General features: G+C 45.0%; 1 long non-coding RNA gene and 2 pseudogenes across 2 annotated transcripts, besides 2 other annotated features; 1 reads left to right on the forward strand and 2 right to left on the reverse strand.

Moving 5' to 3' along the window:
• Positions 4,417–4,520, reverse strand: RNU6-295P (RNA, U6 small nuclear 295, pseudogene; annotated as a pseudogene).
• On the reverse strand, positions 5,779–9,672 carry LOC105375820 (uncharacterized). Of its 2 annotated transcripts, none has more exons than XR_928852.3 (3): positions 9,135–9,672; positions 6,126–6,407; positions 5,779–5,869 (listed from the first exon to the last, which is right to left on the reverse strand). It is a non-coding gene; the product is annotated as an uncharacterized LOC105375820 (long non-coding RNA). The 2 variants fall into 2 exon arrangements; XR_007060908.1 differs by having other exon boundaries at positions 9,176–9,242.
• Positions 13,159–13,260, forward strand: RNA5SP531 (RNA, 5S ribosomal pseudogene 531; annotated as a pseudogene).
• Positions 15,184–15,702: an enhancer, noted in NCBI's record as "H3K4me1 hESC enhancer chr8:49231254-49231772 (GRCh37/hg19 assembly coordinates)". NCBI's record gives its function as "activates a minimal SCP1, AML or CMV promoter by ChIP-STARR-seq in primed H9 embryonic stem cells {active_cell/tissue: H9 hESC(primed)}" and the evidence as "EXISTENCE:reporter gene assay evidence [ECO:0000049][PMID:30033119]".
• Positions 19,981–20,489: an enhancer, noted in NCBI's record as "H3K27ac-H3K4me1 hESC enhancer chr8:49236051-49236559 (GRCh37/hg19 assembly coordinates)". NCBI's record gives its function as "activates a minimal SCP1, AML or CMV promoter by ChIP-STARR-seq in naive H9 embryonic stem cells {active_cell/tissue: H9 hESC(naive)}" and the evidence as "EXISTENCE:reporter gene assay evidence [ECO:0000049][PMID:30033119]".

Genomic DNA, 25,502 nt, shown 5'->3' on the forward strand with positions numbered 1-25,502 from the left:
CAATAGACCTGACGGTTGACTTTGTGAACAAGAGACACATTACAAAAACATGAGGAAATGAAGACAGACCCTGCCCAAGTCAGATGCTCAGACATCAAGTCAGGAGCCTGGAGGGAGAGGGCTTTGTGTGTGCCACACAGGGTCACAGAAGTGAAATAACTTTGTAACAGTGGGGAGCACTCTGCACACATTCCCATCTGAAGGGCCCATGACAGAGTTTGGATGTTGCCCTACTCAAATCTCATTTGAATTGTAATCGCCAGTGTTGGAGGTGGGACCTGGCGGGAGGCAATTGGATCATGGGGATGGATTTCTCATGAATGGGTTAGCACCATCCATTGCCTTGATGCTGTCCCTGTGATACTGAGTGAGTGCTCATGAGATCTGGTCTTCTAAAAGTGTGTAGCACTTCCTCCTTTCTCTCTTGCTCCTGCTCCTGCCATGTGAGACGCCTGCTCCCACTTCCCCTTCTGCCATGATTGAAAGTTTCCTGAGGCCTCCACAGAAGCCCAGCAGATGCCAGCATTGTGCTTCCTGTACAGCCTGCGGAACTGTGAGCCAACTCACCCTCTTTTTTTTTTTTTTTTAAACCCAGTCTCAGGTGTTTCTTTATAGCAATGCGAGAATGGACTAAAACAGCTCAGACCCACCTAATTATTAGTAGTGCCTCTTCCTCTCTCTTCCTGAGGAATGTCTGCAAGGACAAACTGTTCTCTATTTACTAAAAGCTAAGTGAGCATTCCTGTATAACTCTTTAAAATGTTGGGATCAGAAGTGTTAGTGCTGCTCTATTTTTGTCTTACCAATACTCATTTAGTTCAGTGTCCAAACACTCTCACTTAGAAAAGTACTAGAAACAGATGAGATGCCAGCCTAGGAGGCAGCCTCCGCTCCACACAGAACCCCCACTGACCATCACTGCTCTCTCAATCAGGGCAGTATAACAGGGAAGAGACAGCAGCACCGTGGGACCCTGAGCCTTGGTTGAACTCGCCAATGCAAAGCAAAACGAGGAAAACAAAGGCTCTCCATGGAAAAGGAGCTGATTTATCATGAATTTTATTTTAGTCATATGACAGAGTACCTCACTAAAGACAGATAAATGGGTGGAAAGCTATTCCCTGGAGGTGTTAGACAAGAAAAGCTCTGTAACAATGTGAGGTTGGGAAATGTTGAGTTAAACAAATTAAATAAATTTCTTTCTTGCAGGATTTCTCAGAATATTCTTATCCTAATGTGCGCTGTGAGTCTCCAAGAGGGGAATATGTTATGCAGGACTTCCCAAATTCATGTAGCCACAGGACTCCTGTTTTTCCTTCTCCCACAGGCAGCGGCTTGGTGCCATGTGTAAGCATGTGGGCTCTGGGATCAGCCTGTCGGCTTGAATCTAGGATCTCCTGCCTCTGAGCTGTGCGGCATTGGACAAGTCACTTAACCTCTCTCAGCTTTGGTTTCCTCATCTCTAAAACGAGTATAACAGTAGCACCTGCCTTATAAGGTTTTCATAAGGGTGTGGAAAATAAATTAGTTAATTCATATGAAGCACTGCATTTATCCCATGACCTCAGAGACCGTTAAAGCTTAGCAAGTTATCCATAGAAAGCACCTTGCAAACTGAGTGCTGCATCGTGAACACTTTTCAAAATTATCAGTGTAGTGGACATTAGGGTGGCCGCTTAGCATCTATGACACACACCCTGGCCAAAATGATTGGTTTAGGTTGGCCTAATTAGAAGGCTGGTCAAGAATGTTCTTTGATGGTTGAGAGGAGGACATCCCTTTGCATCTGAGTGATGGTGGGTGGGCATTGGACCTGGAATTGCTGTGGGCAATTCACTCTAATGAGACTAGTCAGCCTGGGAGGGAGCACACACCCTGAGGACGGCAGACCACAGATGTGCCCTCAGCAAACCTCCCTGGAAGTGTGCCCCTCCCCTGGACTTGCTCAGTCAGGAGAGCCTGTAAATTCCTTGCAGCTGAAGTAAGTATGAGTAAGGTTTTCTGTGACCAGCTGTCTGCAGCTTCTCAGCTGATAGAGTGGGGGAGCTGGTGGCAAAGTGGGGGAGCAGCTACGGGGTGCAAATACAGCCCAGCTCTTCGGAATGGACTGCACCAGCTCCCAGCTCTCATGTGACTGCTCTGCTTCTTAGTTTCCTCAAAGGGAGATATCAAAATCTTCTACCTAAACATTATGGTAAAGGTGAGGTGCAAAGGAGAGAAGGTGTGGGAAAACACTTTGGAGACAGTCAAGTGTTCTATAAAGGCAAAGCAGAAATGTTTATAGCAATTGTGGAAACTCAACCACTTCTTGATTTAAAGCTGTTACACTGTGGTGGTACAAGATTTTTGGCTAATGCCAAAATAAGAACATAAAAGCCAGCTGTCAAAATATTATAATTGGTTTCTGTCAAACCCGAAGGCTTTAAATTCTGTGATGCTATAAGTTTAAGGGCTTATCTATGGATTTCTGCCATTCTATAATACTCTATCCCATTTAAAATTCTATCGCTGTGAATACTTCAAAAGGGACTCTGGAAAGTATTCACGTATAACTGACGAGTCTCACATTATGGTAATTAAACTTTTTTTTAAATTTTAAACTCCGTGAAATTTTAGTTGTCACTTATCCTTATTTACAATTCAACTAAATGGACCAACTACTATTTGATAAAAGGTAGTGAAATTTTCACTTCTAGTTTTAGAAAGTTTTAACCAACAGTATAGTATGGTGGAAAGTTAGTAAAAGAAATCGTCTACAAAAAGTAAGAAGAAATAAATTCTGCAATTACTTTAATGAAGTTGAAACTTTAAATTATTACCAATAGTAACCATTATTGAGAAGGACAGTTTTCCATGGGTTTCTTGCACGTCTACAAGTCTTGCTGGGTATTTCAAGAATGCAAAGCCCTGGCTGACCTTTAGCCTGGCCATTTCTCAGGTTGTGTTTGCAGTGAGTAACCTTGAGGAACTGAGTAAGGTCTCCCTCCAAGACAAAGAGTGGACGGACTTACTGTTTGATGTGACAGTGGTGTGTTCCCCAAGCTTAGTGCTCGTCAGATGTGGCACAAACCCACTGCACGTAAAACATCCATCTGGGCCCCTCCATGCCAGCCCCATACACATTCAAGAAAAGGAGAACTGTCATATGCATGCCATGTCCTGAGTAATAAAGTCCCATGTCTCCGATCCAGGGGTCTCATGTCTGCTGCCAGCATCCATGAAACTGAAATAGGCTAACCTATTAGCTTACAAGGAGGGTAAAGGCAGATCCTAGACTTTACATTGGTATTGAGATTTTTGGTGATTTTGTATAATATTTGATTTATTTTCGTAAACATTTCCGTGTTAAGAATTCACACCTATGGTATTCTTTGTGGGCACCTGGCATCTTCATTAACCAGCAGACGGAGCCTGTGCTGATTAATTAGATGCAGGCAAGCTTTCTTTGTTTTACACATGCCAGACACCTCACAGAAAAATCCACTTACAGTTATCACAATGCTGTTAGTACACAGAAAAAATGTAGGACATGATAGTAGCATCCTTTACTTGGGCTTCAGAGCATAGAAGGTAAAAATATTACGTTTTCCGAGGGGACCTCCCAGGTAGGAGGAAGTTCGGGAATGTGCATTACCACTCTAAAAGCACTTGAAAGGAATATTTTCTAAATAAAGAATTACTCTGAAGTTGCTAGCACTGGATCTTGTGAAAGGAGAGCTCCTGAATATAACATATTTGTCTTTGGAACTCTAGAACTTTCTCTTTCGTTTACATCATGTATGTTATTAGGGAATAAGGTCCTCAGCTGGTTGTGGTGGTGTGTGCCTGTAGTCTGTTACTCAGGAGGCCTAGGTGGGAGGATTGCTTGAGCCCAGGAGTTCGAGTCCAGCCTGGGCAACATGGTGAGGCCCTGTCATTGCAAAAAAATAAAAATAAAAATGGAAAGGAAGTCTTACCTTGGAAATGATCTGATGTTTACTATGCTTAAAAACTGTGTGTCCGTCAAGTGCCTGAGGAAGTGCACACGCAGGTCATGTGACTTTACTTTAACATCCTCATGTTTGTACTTTCACCCACCACAATTTTAGGTGCACACAGACAAGTCCAGAGCTGACCACCTGCCTGCAGCTGGGCCAATTTCCCTGAACAAGTCTTAGCATCAGTACTTGATGAGCTCCAAGCCTCCTGTTTGTTTATAAAATAAAGCTCCTCTTGCTCATTTTGCCTTTGGGTGGAAGCACAAAACATTCTTTAAAATAAAGGAAAGAAATTTAAGAATAATTCAAAATTGCATTTTAAGGATTGTCACATGGTAGAAAACCAAATAGAAAACTATTAGTGATAAGATGGCAATAATGAAAAATATTTAATAATGTCTGTTGTAATTTGAATGTTGTTTTATTATTATTATTTTATTTTAATATGGAGCTCTTCATGAATTTGCGTGTCATCCTTGCACAGAAGCCATGCTGATCTCTCCAGCATTCCAGTTTTAGTGTATGTGCTGCTGAAGCAAGCATGTAACTTGAAGTTTATTTTCAAACTTTGGAGTTGCATGTATTGACAGTCATGTTGTTCCACCTTCAAATGGGTTTTTACTTCTTTTTTTTTTTTTTTTGGAGACAGAGTCTCACTCTGTCACCTAGGCTGGAGTGCAGTGGTGTGATCTTGGCTCACTGCAACCTCCACCTCCCAGGTTCAAGCGATTCTTGTGCCTCAGCCTCCCGAGTAGCCAGGATTACAGGTGTGCATCACCATGCCTGGCTAACTTTTTGTATTTTTAGTAGAGATGGGGTTTCATCATGTTGACCAGGCTGATCTCAAACTCCTGACCTCAAGTGATCTGCCTGCCTTGGCCTCCGAAAGTGCTGGGATTATAAGTGTGAGCCACTGCTCCTGGCCCTGATTTTTTTTTACTTCTATTTCACAGTGACATGACTTGGTGGATTTGAAAAAGTGATCCCTGTACTGGAGTGTTTTTCATTTCATCACTAGCTTTAATTTTTAATTTTTAAAAAAGTTTCTTGGAATAGGTATCTTGCTTAGAAACATATCAGAGAACTTAAATGGTAGAAGAATAAGAGTGGTGAGGAAAAGAAAAAGGCTGTTTTTCAAATACAGTCGGGCTTTAAGGCAGTCTGTGCTCTTGGAAGAAGTTTTGTAAGAGGAAGTGATGTAAGTCAAATCTAATTTTCCCGTCCAAACAATGCTATGACTATAGGGTTATTTTACTAAACAAAGACTTAATGCCTAGTTTTTTTTTTTTTTTGAGACAGTGTCTCGCTTTGTCACCCAGGCTGGAGTGCAGTGGCGTGATCTCGGCTCACTGCAAGCTCTGCCTCCCGGGTTCACGCCATTCTCCTGACTCAGCCTCCCGAGTAGTTGGGACGACAGGCGCCTGCCACCATGCTAGGCTAATTTTTTGTGTTTTAGTAGAGATGGGGTTTCACCGTGTTAGCCAGGATGGTGTCAATCTCCTGACCTCGTGATCTGCCTGCCTCGGCCTCCCAAAGTGCTGGGATTACAGGCGTAAGCCACTGTGCCTGGCCATGCCTAGTTTTTAAAGGAATACTTTAAATACCCCTTTGATTCAACTGCAAGTGTATGGTGTGGCACTTCTGAGGCACATGCAAATTGGTGAAGGAGGGCAGCTGGTTGCACATTATTTATTACTTGATTTATGCAAGAGAGCCCCTGAAATGGGGGCAGATAAGATTGGAAGATCCTTGAGAAGGTCTGGTCTCAATCTAGGAACTTTAGAAAACCTCGGGTGCGGTTGACGAATGGTCTAGCCAAGGAGTGCGCCATGTGGCCCGAAGGAAGAGTACTGAGGCTCCATGATGCCTGGGCTGCTCAATGGTGGGCAGAGCTGAGAATGAACCATTGGAGAGGAGTGACATCAGCAGGATGGAGGACCAGTGCTCCCCATGTGTATCCCCCCACAGCAGCCGCCCACAGTCAAAAGTGCCTCTGTGGGAACTTTGGGATCTAGATGGGAATTGCAAAACCCCAGTGGAGTCCAAGACTGAGCAAAGCCATTTTAGGAAGACAGAACCAGGTGGCAGCTTGCTGATGGTGGTCCCAGCCACACACTTGGGAACAGTCCTGTCTCCCTGTAAACTTACCTTGATCCTGCAACTGGCACCATCTGCCAAGCCAGGGATGTGGGAAGAGCCATGCCCACCTGTACTTCCAGTAGCAGGCCCACCCAGCTCAGTCCAGGCTGTGGATGGTGAAGCAGCCAGTGACGCAGTTCCATCTCCTCTCAGCTGGGGTCTGGGAGCAGCACTGTCTACCAAGGGACGTGGTGGGAGACACATTCACTTGAACAATGGAAATACAACGCACCAAAACTCGCGGGATACAGCAGAAGCAGTTCTAAGAGGGAAGTTTATAGTGATAAATGCCTGCACGAATAAAAGAGAAAGATCTCAATTAAACAACTTAACTTTACACCTCAAGAAATTAGAAAAAGAAGGATTAACTAAACCCAAACTTAGAAGGAGGGTAGTAATAAAGACTAAAGCAGAAGTAAATGAAAGAGAGACAAGAAAGACAACTGAAAACCAGTGTAACAAACCTGCACATCCTGCACATGTACCCCTGAACTTAAAAGTTAAAAAAAGAAAAGATCAACAAAACTAAGAGTTAATGTTTCTTGAAAGGATCAACTAAATTGACAGACCTTTAGCTAGACTAAGAGAAAAAAGAGAGATGACTCAAATAAAAAAAGAGAGAGGGCTCAAATAAAATAATAAATTAAAGAGAAGACATTACAGTTGATACTATAGAAAGAAATACAAAGGACTATGAGACACTACGATAAATAATTATACTCCAGCAAATGGAGAAGCCCAAAAGAAATGGATAAATTCCTAGAAACAGACAAGCTACCAAGACTGAACCAGGAAGAAATAGAGAATCTGAACAAACCTATAACTAGTAAGGAGACTGAATTAGTAATCAAAAACCTTTCAACCAAGAAAAGCTCAGGACTAGGTGGCACCACTGGTGAATTCTACCAAACATTTAAAGAAGAACTAATACCAATTCCCAAAATCTCCCAAAAAATGGAAGAGGAGGGAACATCTTTAGACTCATTTAATGAAGCCGGTATTTCCCTGATACCAAAGACAGATAAGGACACAATGAGAAAAGAAAACTACAGGCCAATATTCCTGGTGAACATAGATGCAAAAATTCTCCACAAAATACTAGCTAACAGAATTCAATAGCACATTACCGGAATCATACACCATGAAGAAGTGGGATTTATCCCTGGGATGCAAGAATGGTTCAACATATGCAATACCATTTCCTGAAGCTTTTCCTGTAAGATCAGGAGCAAGGATACCCACCCTCACCACTTGTTTTTAAGATAGTACCAGAAATTCTAGCTAGAGCAATTAGCTAAGAAAAAGAAATAAAAGACATCCAAACTGAAAAGGAGTAAGCTACACTGTCTCTGTTTGCAGATGACATGATCTCACCCATAGAAACATCCTAAAGTCTCTATCAAAAAACTGTTAGAACTAATAAGCAGATTCAGTAAAGTTATACAATACAAAGCAATGTCCAAAAATCAGTTGCATTTCTATACACTAAAAGTGACTAATCAAAAAGACATTTAGAAAACAATCTTATTTACAATAACATCAAAAAGAAGAAAGTACTTAGAAATACATTTAACCAAGGAGATGAAAGATCTGTACACTGAAAAACTATAAGACATTAATGAAATAAATTGAAGAAGTCACAAATAAATGAAAAGATAGCATATATTCATGGAAAAGAAGCATTAATGTTGAAATGTCCATACTACCCACAATAATCTATAGATTTAATGAAATTCCTATCAAAATTTCAATAACATATTTCACAGAAATAGGAAAAAACATTCTAAAATTTTTCTGAAACCTCAAAAGACTCTGAATAGCCAAAGCAATTTTGAGTAAGAAGAACAAGGCTGGGAGCATCACACGTCCTACGGTCAAACTATATTACAAAGCTATAGTAATCAAAACAGTATGGTACTGGCATAAAAACAGACACATAGAACAACGGAACAGAATAGAGTCCAGAAATAAATCTACAGCCATTACATGGCTTTGACAAGGGCACCATGAAGACACAATGGGGAAAGGATATTCTCTTCAATAAATGGTGTTGGGAAAACTGGATATCCATATGCAGAAGAATGAAATTAGACCCTTATCCTGCATCACACGTAAAAATAACTCAAAGTGGATTAAAAGACTTAAACATAAGACCTGAAACATAAAACTCCTAGAAGAAAACATAGGAAAAATGTCCTTGACATTGGTCTTGGCAATGAGTTTTTTGAATGTGACAACAAAAGCACAGATTACAAAGAACAAAAATCGGCAAATGGAATTACATCAAAATAAACGCTTCTGCATAGCAAACAACCAACAAAATGAAAAGATAACTTACAAAATAGAAGAAAATGTTGTTTGCAACCATGTATTTGATAAACAGTTAACATCTAAAATATATAAGAAACTCATACTACTCAATAGCTGAAAACCAGATAATTTGATTAAAAATAGGCAAAAGACCTGAATAGACATCTCTCCAAAGAAACATACAAATGTCCAACAGATATATGAAAAGGTGCTTGGCAACACTAATGGTGAGGAAAATGCAAATCAAACCCACAATGAGATAAAGACAAGAGATAATAAGTGCTGGCGAAATGTTAATTGTTACATCCATTATGGAAAATGATATGGAGTTTCCTCAAAGATTAAACATGGAACTACCAAATGACCTGGCAATCCCACTTTTGGGTTTATATCCAAAGGAAATGAAATCTGTATGTGGAAGAGATATCTTTACTCCCATGTTCATTACAGCACTATTCACAATAGCAAAGATATGGAAACAACCTAAATGTTTGTCAGTGGATGCATGGATAAAGAAAATGTGGTATATATACACAGTGGAATATTACTCAGCTGTAGCAAAGGAAAATCCTCATGGATGATCCTGGAGGACATTATGTTAAGTAAGATAAACTGGACACAGAAAAAGAAATACTAATGATCTAAGTAGTAGATCCAATACTAGCAGTAGTACTCTATTAGCTTATTAGTAGTACCCAAAGGACATACACTTAGGTAATGTTATTTGCGATTAGATGTTTTCTCTTCACCTCTCTCTCCAGCATTTTTCACTCCTCCTGTTCTTGTGATCCAAAATATATGTTTCTTTGAAAGTGGAAATTGTGTAACAGAAGTGTGGCTTTTGTATTTTATCCTTAGCTGTTTTCCATGAAACACATGAATGTAACGTTTTGACTTTCAGAAAAAGAGAGGTGAAAGCAAAATGAAATGATTTTAAGGTGTGCCAGGCAGTCAGGGACAGAGGGAACTTTTCCTTCTAGACTGTGTCCAGGCAGGCTCTGGAGGCTGTTCTGCAGCTAGCTGAGGCGAGACTGAGTTTCAGATCAATCTGGCACTTGAAGTCTGAGCTGGGTTAGTTCAGGGGCAAGATTGCCCACGAGCTACCGCCATCCATGCTGGGAGGGTCTCCTAAGCCTGTCCTGCAGCCCAGCTACCACGCCTGTGCTGACCCATGAACGACACGTCAGGCACCACAGAGTCCTATTCATAAGCTCGTGTTTTTGGAAGAAAGGTCCAGAGTCTCTAAAAATGAGCAGTGAGACAGTGACATCATAATGGTATTTATTATTTCAGGTTAGACTGGCATCTACTAAATCATTACGGCCACAGGTAGGTTTTTCCACTGAGAAAAGCCTTCTTTTTCCCTCTAAAGCTGGATTACTGGGAGGCTGAGCACGCACGCTCCCTCGGGGTGCCAGCCTGGGTGGAGTAAAGGCCCAAAAGATTCCCGCTTCATTTTATTTCCACACATTCCCCACCCTAGAAGTTGAGTAGATTAATTTTTATGGGGCACAGACTGGGCAAGGCTCAGACACAGGCCCTCCTCTTGCCACCTCCACTGCGTGAGTGGGACCTGCAGACCGTCTCAGGACACCCTGCTCCCAAATGCCTCTTTTTGGGCCTGAAATTCCCATTTTACTTAAACCTTTAAGTTCAGGCTTTCAAGGACCCTATTAACACAGATTTTCAATTTATTTGGAATACAAAACAAATAAGATTATTAGCATTTTATCATGGATTAATTTATCCTATTACCCTAGCCTAGAAAGGCCCGGGAGAACGAGACTGATAAATTTAGGTGGGGAAGGAAAGGGATGAAAAAGAGCCAGTGAATACAGGACTCTGCCTAGGCAATGTTTAGTGTGCCTACTGGTGGAGATGTGTGTGCACGTGTGCATGAGCATACGTGTGTGCATCTGTGAATGTGTGTGGATGCATATGTGTGCTATGCACATGCATGCAAGTGCACATATGCACATGTACCTGTATGTGCTGCACACGTGTGCATGTATGTGTGTGCACACATGCACGTGTATGCATATGTGTGTGTGTATATGTGTATGTACAGAGTAGATGAGGTGGGAGTGGATGGGAGATAGAAGTAGTACCAGGCTACAAAATCATCTAGATGGATATTAGGACTTGAGGAATTAAATATATACATGCATATATATACATTCATCCCAACCTAAGTGGACTTCTAAACAAAATCCAGAAAGTAAGATAGTGCTTAAGAGCTATCTTAAGCTGGCTCTTAAGATAATCTTAGTGATCTTAGTGTAATCTTAGTGATAACCTAATTACCCAAGTTGCATTTTATTTTATTTTATTTTTGAGATGGAGTCTCTCTCTGTTGCCGAGGCTGGAGTGTAGTGGCGCAATCTCAGCTTACTGTAACCTCTGCCTGCCAGGTTCAAGTGATTCTCCTGCCTCAGCCTCCTGAGTAGCTGGGACTACAGGTGTGCGCCACCACACCTGGCTAATTTTTTTTTTCAGTAGAGAGGTTGTTTCACCATGTTGGTCTCGAACTCCTGACTCAAGTGATTCACCCACCTCAGCCTCCCAAAGTGCTGGGATTACAGGCATGAGCTACCGTGCCCAGCCCCCATGTTGCATTTTAGATATGAAAAAATTCCGAGGGATCTGGGCACTTAAGAAGTCTCTGTTTCTTTCCTATTGAGTGAAAGGTGACCTTGGCTTGGGGATGCCCCAGAAACACAACTCCCTGGGGCTCCATCAGCCAGCCTGGGGTCTGCTAAGGAGAATTTTCCTTTCTCCTTGGGCTGTGGTTTTCCTTACATTCATGGTTTCTTTCCCAGTCTGGCAGCAGCTGCATCATTAAACTAATCTGGCGCCTGAAAAGAAGGATAACTCTCTGTGGAGATTAATGATAATGCACTTAAATTTACATAACACGTCAAGTCCAGAAGGATCCCAAAGTGCCGTGTAAACCTCCTAGAAGGGCTGAGATGCAACAGGTTTCCTCTGCAACCTCACAGAGCCGGGCAGGTGGAGCAGGAAGGCAGTTCAGCTTCTGTTTCCTAACGATGCTAGCTGTGGTAGTGCAACTTCAGGCTGAATGGTCAGGAAGAACAAAATGCTTGACAGACTTTTGTGTGGATGTTAAGCTTTTGCAACACTCAGCTCAGCCACTTAGAAGAAATGGTTTTACATCAGTTTTGCAGAAAAGGATTGGAAGCTCAAAGTGATGAGACCCCTAGAGTTCCAAAGCAGGAGACGTCCCAGACTAGGCTCAGTGAAAGGAAGGGTGTGGCCAGCTGAGCGATGAAGTCTTGGGGCAGGGAGGAGGGACTGGCAGGGAACCCCACTGCATGCCCCCTCCCTGGCTCCTCTGCTTCAGGCACATGCCTTTTTGCTGTTTCCCCAACTCACAGAGTTGGGACGTTGCATGGCTGTCTCCTGTGCTTGGAATTGCCCTTGCTGCAGGCTCACTCCTGCATTTCACTCAGGTGACTTGCCAGATGTCAGGTGGGCAGGGAGCATGCCCCTGACCCCTAGCCACAGCCTCTGCCTCCAGGCACAGCCAGTGCCCTTCCCTGCACTCTTTCTCATCAGAGTGTGTGCCTATCTGAAATTATAGTCTTTTTTTTTTTTTTGAGATGAAGTCTCACTCTATCCCCCAGGCTAGAGTGCTGTGGCGCGATCTCACTCAGCTCACTGCAACCTCCATCTCCCAGGTCCAAGCAATTGTCCTCTCTCAGTCTCCTGAGTGGCTGGGATTACAAGCCTGCGCCACCACGCCCGACTAATTTTTTGTATTTTTAGTAGAGACGGGGTTTCACCATGTTGGCCAGGCTGGTCTTGAACTCTTAACCCCAGGCGATCCACTCGCCTCAGCCTCCCAAAGTGCTGGGATTACAGGCATGAGCCACCGCACCCAGCCTATAGTCTGTTTTTAATCTGTGCACTGCTTATTGTCAGTCTCCCCAACAAGAATATAAGCAACATGAGTTGGGGCTGTTGTTCCATTCTCTGCTGTATCCTTCAAGGCTAAGGCAGGGCCTGAGACCCAGCAGGCACACTATCACACCTCAGGCTGCAGGAAAGTGTGCAGCGCCCGCAACCTTGCATCACTCCCCTGCAGGCGGGGGCTTGGCATGGTGTGCAAAGTCCCTGCTTGCTTTGGGTAGACAGCACCCAGTGTGTGTCCAGATCCAGACCACATGACACTCCGTCCAGTGGCTTGTGCAGAGTGGACATTTTGTGGAATTACATGAAATTTGTCATTCAGAAAGGCCTCTGCTTAGGTCAGCACATTTCTGATACATTGGATGCTAGGAAGGTGGAAGTTTTTCTTTCCCTCTTCCTGTTCAAAAGGGGGTTTGGCGTGTGCTAGGGTGGATTGAAACAGCTTAGTCTCTCTGGCTTTTTCCAAAAGAAGACAGTGGAGTTGATGGGATTGAGTAGCTCCTTGGGTCAACTCTAAATGAAGGCAGAACTCTACCGAACAGTGTCCATCCCTGCCTTCAGGAACCCTACAACATTTGGACAACAGATACAGCGGCCAGAGGCCACAGGACAAGCACAGGTGTGAGGTGTGAAATGGTGCAGTGTGTGGAAGGTCCCCAGTTGGCTGGAGTTCACTGGTGGAGGGAAAGGGAAGGGATGTTCCAGGCTGAGGGAACAGCAAGAGCAGAACTGGATTCAAAGAGGATGTGGGTGGGGAGCAGGGAGGAGCTCTCAATGTCTGGAGTTGGAGCCTGGGGGAGGATCCAGCTCTGCCCTGGGAGATGATCTCATTAGCTAAGCAGGACCAGGCCTGGGCCAGCATTTATAAGGAAGACCTCCCAGGAAAACCAGGGTATGGCAGGGATTGATGCTGGTGATTCATTGAGTGGCAAATCTTTCTTTAGAGTCATTTCCGAATTGATGTTCCAGGACTGTGTCTGTAAATGTGTGCTTGTGTGTGTCAAGGAGAATAGCTCAGACTCTTTTTGCATCAAGGGGAATTGAACACGCAGATATGTCCCAGCCCTGGGAGGTCTTTCAGAGGCCAAGGGCTGAGTGCAGTGGGATGCTCTGTACAAATAAAACTCTTCTAAGCAAAGTAAGGGTGTCCAGTTCTCCTCAGGACAGTGTGGGTCTGTGCTAGCAGCTGTCCACGGGCAAAGGGTGTGCTGGACCAGGGAGCTGAGGCTCACTCAGAGGACACAGGCAGTGGGGAGTGCCCTGCTGACAGTCACTGTGACCCCAGTGTGACTCCCCGGCCAAAGCATCCCTCTGTAACCTGTACTATTCTTGTCTCTGCTAACCCCAGAACTGAGCTCAGCACAGGGTCAGAGCACACTTTCTGTGTTAAATAAAGGTATTTCTTAATTACTTTAGTCAATGTGGTAACGGCTTCATGAGGAAAGCTCTGTGTGCCTCTTCGTCGGGCTGCTCTGTCCTCGGGCCTGGCTGCCATGCTTCTCATCCTGGACACGTGGCTCCTAGGGCTGGCACAGCATGTGTGCCGCATGCCCCGCCGCTCATTGGGTGGCAGTGCACAGGCACCCACCCCGCCTGGGCCATGAGCCTGACCCCGGGTTTGTTCTCAGCACCAGGGTGACTGTGGGGGGTGGGGTGGGAAGAGGCGAGATCCAAGAGACATTGGTCTCGAAGGCCTTACAGACTTTGTTCTCTCTAGGCAACCATAACCTCCGGAGAGGGATCCAGAGGCAAACTCAATTGGTCCTGTCTTTAGTCAGGCAGGCTTTTCTGAGTTTTTTTTGTTTGTTTGTTTTTTCTCTCTTACATAGAGACAGGTTCTTACTATTTTATTATGAAATAGTTTGATGTGCTCATTGCTGGTAGGCTTGTAACTAAGACTCATAGACTCACAGTAAGTTTTAGAATGATTTAAAAAATAATTCTCGGTTACTGGTTGTAGGATGCTGCCGGTCGTTAAGGAGTATGGGAATTTGCTTGGCATTCCACAGTGACTCTTTTCTTCTTTAAGATAATCAGCCCTCAAAACAGAAATGGAGAAAACTCAGCATCAGAACACATTCATATCCAATCATAAATAGGTCAGTTCACTGACACACATAAAAGGTTTCCCTGGGACATTACTTTGTTGTGGATAGGTGCAGGAATTCTACAATTCACTGCATAATTTTCACTCTGATTTTAATATGCCAACTATGCATAAGTCACATAAGTGAGTTGGTAGTTAAAAAAATGAGTTTTCTACATTTCTTGACTTTCTATGTTTGGATTATAAATGATGTGATGAATATTCTTACCCATATGGAGAAATATCAAGAATTCTCCATGTGTTAACTGAGCAAATGTATCTAAACTTTCTGGCACACCGAAGTCATAAATCTCTTTGGAAATGTAGACTACATGAAGCCTTGTACTTAAGGATCCAATTCTATTTCTGCACTTTTATTCAATATTGTGACTTTGTGGAGGCTGAAGGTACACCCTCCCTTGTTATCTCTGCCAGATTCCTGGCAGCTGCACTTAGGCAAGCTGGCCAGTACAGGGAGGAGTCCCCTAAATTACAAAACGCAGTGCTTGTCATCTGAGAAGAATGAAGCACCCCCAGTCCGCTGACTGATTGCTAATCATCCCCTACACTAGCTTTATGAGCAGCCGATTCCTTCCTGTGTGGTTATCTTCGACCTGCCCATGCCTGCGCGCTGACTCTCACCTCTCCGACCTGCTCCAGCGGAAGGTTCTCTGCCCCGGGCAAAGCTATTTGAGCAGGCCAAGAGTTGAAGAAAAATACCAGACCAAACCAGCTCCTCCAGCATGAAAGACAAAAGCAAGAAAAGCAAGGTGCAGGTGGGGCCTATCCGATCCTTTTTCTTAATACTTGTCGGAAACCTCTAGTTTGTTGAGGCTACATGTAGCATGCTCTGAATTTCTTACCCTGCTTCCAACACATTAAAAATGTGTATTTATTAAGTTAAATACCATCTAGGGCCACTAGATGTCACTGCCTTCAATCTGTTCCACAAACTGCCACTTGCTGGGAGCTGAGAAGCCGGCCAGACATTTCAGTGCAGGAAGAGCCCTCGCGGCGACAACCGCGAAGAGGACTTCCCGCGAGTGCGTGGGGCTAGAAGCACTTCCAGTGATTCTTTGCAAGGTTCAAAGTGAAAGTGAACAGACCAGTCAAAGGGAGCTCGCGTTCAGGTTCCTGTTATTCGGACTATGCTGGGCCGGGAAGGGCGCACGGAACGGGACCTATGGCCTACAGACTCACCGCGCCCTCCGTCCCCGCCCACGCCTAGGGTACCATCTGCCCGCCTGTGCTCTGCGCTGAGTGCCCAGCCAGCCGCAACCCCACAGATGACCACGACGTTGACCTGCCTGTTTCCACTTTGCAGGAAAGGAGACAGAGTGAGGAGGCCAGCAACAGGCACAAGAGCTCCTTTTTGACGTGGGATCAGGGAGGCCCCAGGTGGTGGCCGCAGAGGAGCTGTATTCACCCTGCCTCCTAGTTGGGGCACCACACTAGTTCCAAATGGGGGAAACTAGGGCAAGACTGGAGCTAAAGGAGCAGGGAAACCTTTGAATCCATAACGAATGCTACACAACTTCCAGAGGCACATGGCCCAACAGAAAAGCCTCAGATGGAGTAACATCTAAAAGGACTGAGTATTTGGAAACGTGTTCCTTTGGGGCAAAGATGACACCTCCTAGGTTGATGCGTGATTGGCATCAGCCAGGGCCTGAATTTATGTTTCTTATAATGGTTTTATAGTTCTTGATTAAATTGTGCATTTTCTTTTTGCACTGTTCCGCAGTTTTAATATTCATTCCCATTGTAGCTGGACATACTCATCTGCAGTTCAGTTCACAACAGAAATGATAATTTGTGTAGGAGGGATGACAGCCCAAAATAGCCCATTTTCTATAATCCAGCTGTAGTTAGAAGGGGCAGAACACTCTAGGATGCCTAGAAGAAAGAGGGTAACAATAAAATAGCAGGTTCTACTTTTTGTTTGTACCAGTGAGTTCAAGAGCACTTGTTACTGAGGGAGACTCTCCTGTGGCTGGGCTTGGAGGCCTGTCGATTTCCTGTTTCTGAGCTCAGGCTTTTCTGATGGGGAAAAGCCTGTCAGCATCATATAGAGGACAGTATGGCTATTTCCCTTGTGAGTAAGCCTCTTTGCTAAGGGGAAAGTGGTCTTTTTCTTATACTGGCCTAGCTAGAAATAGAATGCCCCTGGGTGAATGAGAATTCCTTCCACTATGGGCACATTTGGACAGATTTCATCTTTTCTGTTTCTACTTGAAAGAATTCCCTGGATGACAGGATTCAAAGGTTTTCTCTATAGCGAGTGTTTGGGCTGCAGCTAAGATGGTACTAAGTGAACCAGTGCAGGGAGGATCTCACAGTGCGAAGGCAGATGTGAGCTAGGGCCTCGGCCTGGCGCAAGCTGCTGGAGTACTGTGCACTGGTGAGGTTCAGAAAATTGGGGAGGTCTCAATATGGGAAAAGGCAGGCAAAAAGAGAAGTATTGTCAACCAGATCCTCAAAGTAAACCTGGAGTTTATTCCTTCAGTAAACATGGGACACTGACTATAAGCCAGACATTGCTGTAGGCTGAGGAGATTAACAGTGAACAAAACAGACAAAAGTAATCGGCTGGAGTATGCCTTCTAGTAGGAAGAGACACAAAGTGAATGAACGTAGTGAATCATATAGCTGTGGATTAGATGAGACGGGCTAAGGGGAAAATAAAGGAGGAAGGGGGATGAAGAGTGTCAGGTGTGATGGTCAGGGAGTCCCACTGAGAAGGTGACATGTGTGCTCATGCATGGAGAGGACAGTGAGGAGGTGTATGGCTGGAGAAGTGACCAGGGACAGTGCTGAGCTAGGTCAGAGGGTCCAGCCCAGATCTTGGTGAGCTTGGAGGTCATGCAAGCACTTCACCTGCCACCCATGGGAGGTGGGTGGGTTTCTGCAAAGGAGTGCCAGGCTCTGACACCTGTTTTGAAAGGTTAAAGGGGCAAAGGCTGTACAGAGGCTGAGGAGGAGAAGGTTGTGACGATCCAGGTGAGAGATTGCGGTGGTCAAATCTGAGCAGTAATAGGCAGTACTGAGAAGTGGTCAGTTTCTGGATACGTTTGGGTTGAATGTGGCATGAGACATAGCCCTGTGCTGGACTGACCAGAACAGCTCAAGGCGGAAAGGGTGCTGGGGAGGTTAAATATTCAAGAACTCTGCCACCTGGTGGTTAAACCATTGGTGACTTGAAATCAGCCGTGGTGGGAGTATTTACATCATGGAAATGAGCAAACACTACAGATTAGGGCTCTTGTCTTTTGTGAAGCGGGTTTCTCAGCAAAGCACGGGATGTAAGAGAAGAGGAAAGGGTGACTCTGGGGCAGGGCTGCCTTATTGCTGAGATGAGGTTGTGCTAGCTCACTGGCATGGGCTGCTGCAGAATCCCTGCTAGTTGAACTATTCTGCTATCTGTATTTGAAGGTAGTTCTACACTGAGTTATCAACCTTTCAATTCAGGTTGATTATATGTATTTCACATCTCTCCAGAAGAAAATAGGTATGAAAAGTACCATATGATTAACAATAATCATGTATTTCAGGTCTACATTTTTTCTTCTCAAAATGATAGGTGATGGCTGGACCGTGTTCTTTACAGTTAAGTCAGATGACACTGAGCCCATTTTGTCCCACTTGGGGGTATTTCTGTGAGCTGTTTTGAACAAAAACATGGCCTGTGAACCAACCTTCTTCTGCTGCACTCTCAAACTGCCTCTCACTCTATCCTAATCTGTACCTTTTAAGGATGTTAATGAATTAAATGCAGTGCTCCGCAGCATTTTGAAACATATCATGGGGTGCACCCCAAAGTTCAATGGGATTGATTTTTGTCACCGTATGATTTTGACTTGGATATATTTGGTTATATCAAATTACTCTGTTGTCATGAACATCTGGGGTTAATTTTTTTTTTTTTTTTGAGATAGGGTATTGCTCTGTTGCCCAGTTGTCGAGGCTGGAGGGCAGCAGTGTGATCACGGCTCACTGCAGTCTCAACCTCCCAGGCTTAAGTGATCCTCCCACCTCAGCCTCCCGAGTAGCTAGGACTACATGCATGCGCTACCACCATGCCCGGCTAATTTTTTGCTTTTTTTGTGGAGATGAGGTCTCACTATGTTGCCCAGGCTGGTCTCAAACTCCTGGCCTCAAGCAATTCTCCCACCCTAACCTCCTAAAGTGCTGGGATTACAGGCATAAGCCATCATGCCTGGCCCTTGGGGTTAAATTTTAATAAGAATTTAGCCCTGGCCGAGGCTTTGTATGGTGGGCATTCTTTAGTGCCCAGGGAAAGTCCTGCTGCTGTTTAGAACTGGCAGAGCAGAAGTGATTAGAATGCACAGCTCTTCCTTTTGGGACTAACAAAAACACTGGAAATTTTAAAAGAACTGACTTTTCTGTGAAGTTTCCAGAACTTTCACCTACTACATGGACTGACCAACAGCCCATATCCATCAGCATGGGGCATTCCAGCTGGGAGCTCAGAGGTGTGGATCTGCTGTGAGGGCTGGGTGGGCCAGGCGTCTAGGCCCTGGAGCCAGGAAGTCCAGGTACCGTCCACGTCTGGCCCTGACTCACTCTTTTGGATGGAAAAAGCCAAGGTGGCCTCGCAGCCTCAGTGAGGACTTTGCAAGGATTGGCTACTGTGGGTCTTGTGCTACCTGGGGTGCAGCTGTGGCTGTTTGTCCTCCCCCAGGAGGGGGAGTGCCCTGCGGCCTGTGCTCTGCTGCCCAGGCCTGCTAGGCCTGCACAGGGCCATGGCGGGGGTCCCTGGCGGCAGGGCTTTGGGTGTGGACCAACCTGGGTTTGCATTCCACTCTGTGTGCCCACTCTGCAGCCCTGGGCACACGACTCACTCTGCCTGGTGTCTGTCTCCCTGTGGCCAGTGCCGATTAATATGGATTTCAGCAAGAACATTTAGACTCTTGGCTGGCATGTGGTCACTTGCCAGATCTCAGTGAGGTGGCATGTTTGGGAGTGTGCAGGGAGCATCCATGATCTTCCTGAAGCCTGAGGAGTGCTCCTGTCATTAAGGGGTGAGGCTGCAGAAAACTTGCTACCGAGCCGTGGGGAGATGCAGGCAACACTGGCTCTTGCTTCAGTGGGAGTCAGGGCCACAGCGGGAATGCGCAAAGAAAATGAGATCCCCAGTTCTGGCACCGAACGTGGCTGTCCCCACACACAGAAGGAAAGGCTGGGCGGGGTGAGAAGCCACACGCGATGTCAGCAGAAGTGGTGCTGTAGATCAGACCAGGTCTCAGGAGCTCTCTGAGTGATCTTGGCCAAGGTGCTTCCCCTCCAGGCCTCTGTGACTTCTGTAAAACCAGGAGGTCGACAACAATACTCTGGAAGCCCCAGCCATTGTGGATTCTGAGTGGAGACAGGGCAGAGGGTGGAGGGCCACTTTCAGGGGACAGGTGGGTGGATGCATTTCCTGTGGGGCTGACTGTGAGTGAGTCCTGAGGGAGAGTGCATTCCAGGTGGGGCTGGCTGCAGAGGAGACTCGATGCTGGGCTACAGGAACCCCCGGGGGTTGCGATGGCCCAGCCTGCGGTTGGGCATGCGGGGACTGGGCCTCAGATGGTGCTGACAGCACCCGCGTTTGCACACTGTGATTCCCAGCTCATCCGAGTGGAGATTTGGGCTACAGGGAAACTTGCTGCTGGGCCTTGGCCTGGGCTCCACCATGGCTGGTGGCTCCCCTGATGGTTGGTGGAAGGGCTGAGAAAACCAATTCCACCAAAGGTAAGAGGGATGCATGTGGACTGTGCTGAGTTCCTCTTAGAGCAGCCCTTCTGTTCTACGTGTACCACAGGTGCTGTTTAATTTTACGTGTCCACTTGACTGGGCCATGGACTGCCCAGAGATTTATCAAACATTATTTTTGGTGTTTCTGTGAAGATGTTTCTGGGTGAGATTAACATCTAAGTCAGTAGATGGAGTAAAGCCAAGCGCCTCTCCCAGTGTTCAGGGCCTCATATAACCAGTTGAAGGCCTGAATAGAACAAAAGGCTGACCTCCCCAACGCGTGAGAGAATCCTCCTGCCTGGAGGCCTTCATCCTGGGATATCACCTCTTCCTGGTTCCACAGCAGATTCTAGCTTTCAGGCTCAAATGGAATGTTGGCATTGCAGAGGGCCAGGCCCACATCACATGAAGCAGTTCCTTATACTAAATCCCTCCCCACCTCCCATTCTGTGTGTGTGTGTGTGTGTGTGTGTGTGTGTGTGTGTGTGTATGTGTGTGTGTATCATATCGGTTCTTTTTCTCTGGAAAGCCCTAACACAAAGTATTTGATGATCTTCCATGCTGGGGTTGTCACGGTTATGAGGGGGAGGCCAATCGGTTGTGTCTGTGAAGCAGTGTGTCTGGAAGGCTTACTCCCTGAGCCTTCAGGCTTCCACCCAGGAAATGAGCTTCCAGAAGTAAGTGCCTGAGTCATACCTAGGAGTTTGGATTGCACCACAGAGATGCTGGGAGCGTACATCAAAAGCCTTCTCCTCCTCCACAGAGATTAGGAGAGAAAGAGCACAGGCCGATGCCCATGGCTTCTCCTTTCCTTATTACTGACATTGACTGTTCAGAGCAAATAGGTCTGGAGTAAGTAAAGTAATCCATGGATACATTCTCAAAAGTTTTGAAAGAAAGATGCTGGAGAAATATTTAGAATTATTACCATTATTATTTCTGGATTTAATTCTACCTATATTTAAAGAAAATGAAGAATAAGGTTCTATGACCTATGTGTTTTTGGCAAAAATGTTTAAAATTTCCCCCTGGCATGAATTGAAAAAAATCTTTCATAATTCTCAGGTCAGACATATAAATATTCTAAACAAAAGCTTGTTAGTTCTACCCATTCCACCATCTATTGAGTTAAGACTGGCTAATCCAGAGGTTGACACAGTTAAATGAAAGGGTTCATTTGGAACTGTTAACACCTTGCAATAACACCTTGCACTTATATAGAGCTTTTCATGCTGAAGGATTGCAAAGTGCTCTGCAGACAGTGTATAAATAGAAATGCCTCCCCCACCTCTAAAGGCAGCCTTCTTGCAGGCACAATGCGACCAAAACATCACCCCACAGTCTTTTTGTTGAAGGGAAACATTGCAGACCATTTTCTCCATTTCAAACTGAGTGAGTTTTTTCCTTGCATGGTTTGATTTTCTGATTCTCTGATACCAGCTGGGTGTCCAGTGATTCAATTCAATTCTGACATCAATTCTCCAGAGTAACCCAGACCCCACAAATTAAGGGCTCTGTCCTGCAAGAATACCTGTCATTTCAGATGCCAGTTGCAAGTAGTGGGTGCCCAGGTTACCCACACTATTGTCCCATTGGGCTACAAACTGGGGATGCCCACGAATCCCCCTGAGGTTCGGTAGTTTACTATAATGGTTTACAGAACTTGGGAAACATTTTACTTAAACGATTTCCAGTTTATTGGGAAGGATACAATTTAGAAACAGCCAAATGGCAGTGATGCACAGGGCAAGGTGTGGGGAAAGGAGTGCCCTCTCTGGGTGTATCACCCACCCAGCCCCTCAATGCGTTCAACAACTGGGAAGCACTCTAAGCCTTTCATTTAAGGGTTTTTAATGGGGGTTCCATGTTGTAGGCATGCTTGGTTAAATCACTGGCCATTGGTGATTGAACTCAATTTCCAGACCCTGACCCAGGGTGTGGAGTTGAGAGTTCCAACTCTCTAATCACATGGTTGGTTCCTGGGCAGCCAGCCCTATCCTGAAACTGTCTAGGGTCCACCAAGACTCACCTCAATGGCATAAACTCAGGTGTGGTGGAAAGGGGCTTGCTGTGAATAACGAAACACATTCCTCTCACCCCGTCACTCAGTATTGTGAGTGATAGGAACTTTGTCTCCAGGAACTGGGGACAAAACCCAAACATGTATTTTCTGTTATGTCATGCAAATGACAGGGTATCTCATATGACCAGTATGGGTCATGTTGGCATGAAGCAGGGTACTGCTATGAGTTGTCACCTCTCATGGAAGGGGTTCTGGGGAATCTGAAATGGCTTTCAGATACCCTCCATATAAGCACTGTTCAATAGAATTTCTATGTTGATGAAAATGTTCTATAACATGCACTATCCAATATGGTAGCACTAGTCACATACGGCTGTGAGCACCTGACATGTAGCTGGTTATGACTGCAATACTATTTTATTGTGATTACTTTAATTTCAATCAGCTTACATTTACTGGGTCCCCTGTGTTTCATGGCTGCGTTGTGTGAAGCTCTACAGCACAGACCCTCTAGAAATGACCGATGACCGTATGTGTGGGGTGGTGGCGGCTCAGGAGCAGTCCTAATGACCGCATTACTTATCCCCCAGCTCTGGAGCTGTAACTCAAAGTGAAATGGATGCTGGCCTCTGCAGAAAGTGTAGTATGGGACTCATTGATCCATCGAGCCATCCATCTATTAATCAATTTATCCTTTGAACAAATATTTCTTGAGTGCATTCAACACTTGGTCACATTCAACACTTTCCCAGGTAAATGGAGATTTTTACATTTAGAGTTGCCCAACAACTCTTTATTTAGATGAAGAATCAAATTTTGAATAAAAGTGAAGTTAATCGTTAAAATTATGTTTAAAAGCACTCCTCCCAAAAGTGAGTGCTAGTTGAGAGGGTGATTCTGAGCAGGAGGAGAGGTAGGAATGACATGATAACACCAGGTGTTAAGTGAACAAGACGGTGGTGTCCTGGACATGGAAATGTGTTTATAGGTCATGCAAATGACTCCTGAAGAAAAGCAGTTGGTGATTCTGGCAACAATGAAGGCATTGGTGATGGGGGGAAGCTGCGTGGTGTGGATGGCAGTATTTTACGGAGTTAAGTTTATTTTTGCCCAAGTGAAATTGTGGCTTGTAAAGAGGAATGAGAAGGCAGGAGCCTTGAAACAAAGTACAGGAGGTAGACTGAGATGCAGCTTCAGAGAAATGGCAAGAGCAATGAGCAGGGAAGACGGAGAGATGCACTGGGCCCAGGACCCGGGGGAGGGCTCAGCATGAAGTGGGGTGGGGTGGTTGTGCAGCCCAGGCAACCTCTGTGTCCCCAGGTCACAGAAGCTGGTCACTCTCTCTACCAATTCAGAGGAAGGAGCAGACTCAGAGGTCAGGGAGAAGGCTGCACCCAGGCCTGAGAGGCCTGCAAGGGCTGGGAAGGAAGACTTGTAGGAAGAGCTGGACCAGGGCAGGCCCTGGAAAGAGGGCGGCCTCTTCCTTCCACCATATACAAAAATCAACTCAAGATGGATTACAGCCTTAAATGTAAGACCTAAAACTATAGAAACCGTGAAATAAAACCTAGGAAATACCATTCTGGACATAAGCATTGGCAATGATTTCATGATGAAGTCCCCTAAAGCAACTGCAACACAAACAAAAATAGACAAGTGGGACCTAATTAATCTAAACAGCTTCTGCACAGCAAAAGAAACTATCAACAGAGTAAACAGATAACCTATGAAATGGGAGAAAATGTTTGCAAACTGTGTATCTGACAAAGGTCTAATATCCACTATCTATAAGGAAATTAAACAAATTTACAAAAGAAAAACAACCCCACTAAAAAATGGGCAAAGAACATTAACAGACACTTCTCAAAGGAAGATATACATGTTCATGGCCAACAGGAATATGAAACATGCTCAGCATCGCTAATCATTAGAGAAATGCAAATTAAAACCACAATGAGGTACCATCTCACACCAATCAGAATGGCTATTATTAAAAAGTCAAAAAATATTATAACAGATCCTGGTGAGCTTGTGTAGAAAAAGGAATGCTTATATACTGCTGGTGGGAATGTAAATTAGTTCTGCCACTGTGGAAAGCAGTCTGGAGATTTCTGAAAGAACTTAAAACAGGACTACCATTTGACCCAGTAATCCCATTACTGCGTATATACTCAAAGGAATAGATGTTGTTCTACCATGCACACGTATGTTCACTGCAGCACTATTCACAATAGCAAAGACATGGAATCAACCTAAATGCCCCTCAATGATAGACTGGATAAAGAAAATGTGGTACATATACACTATGGAATATCATGCAGCCATAAAAAAACCTCAAAATCATGTCCTTTGCAGCAACATGGATGCAGCTAGAGGCAATTATCCAAAGCAAATTAGTGGAGGAACAGAAAACCAAATATCACATGTTCTTACTTATAAGTAGGAGCTAAGTGATGAGAACACATGGATGTAAAGATGGGAACAACACACACTGGGGCCATTGGAGGCTGGAGGGTGGGAGGAAGGAGAGGATCGAAAAACTACCATCAGATATTATGCTCACTACCTGGGTGATGGAATCATTTCTACACCAAACCCCAGTGACACCTAATCTATCCATGCAACAAAGCTGCACACGCACTCCCTGAACCTAAAATAAAAGTTGAGAAAAGAGAAAAGAAAAACCTTGTTTCTTTTCTCTTACAAAATCTTTTCTAAGGACGTAGGGAATGAACGCAATTAATGGTAATTTAGTAAAATGTTTCATTCAGTGTTTAGAAGTTGATTTCTTTAGCAGTGTTTCACGTTGGCTTTGGAGGTGGCAGACTCTGCTTGTCCCTCATACACACGAAGTTCTGACCAGCACACAGGCATTTTCACATCCTGCTCAGAACCAAGTTTATATCCCATTTTAACTGGGTGAAAACTGACTCTCCAAGGAAAGTTTATCTGGGGGGCACCTTGGCTCTTTTTCAGCAAGTGGGGGTGTGGTGGGGGTGGCTGCTGAGGCTCAGGAGGTTGCGATCCAGGTGGGCTATCTGGGATTAGAGTGAGCCATCCTACGGGCTCCCAATGAGCCCAGTCAAGCTTGCTTTGTCAACACCGTCTTCTGAACAGCTGTAGATCATGCCGCCATCTGTGCGTGGCCTCTCCTACAGGAGCATCGTCTCAACCAGGGCCAAAGCCAGCGCCTGAGTCTGATGTCTACCAACGACGACCAGAAGCCCAGCTGCAAAGAAGGGGGCCTCTCTCTATCCCGGCCGGGTGCAGATTACCAGTTCCT

Source organism: Homo sapiens, chromosome 8 (assembly GCF_000001405.40).
Source record: "Homo sapiens chromosome 8, GRCh38.p14 Primary Assembly".
In the NCBI taxonomy this organism is placed as follows: Eukaryota; Metazoa; Chordata; class Mammalia; order Primates; family Hominidae; genus Homo; species Homo sapiens.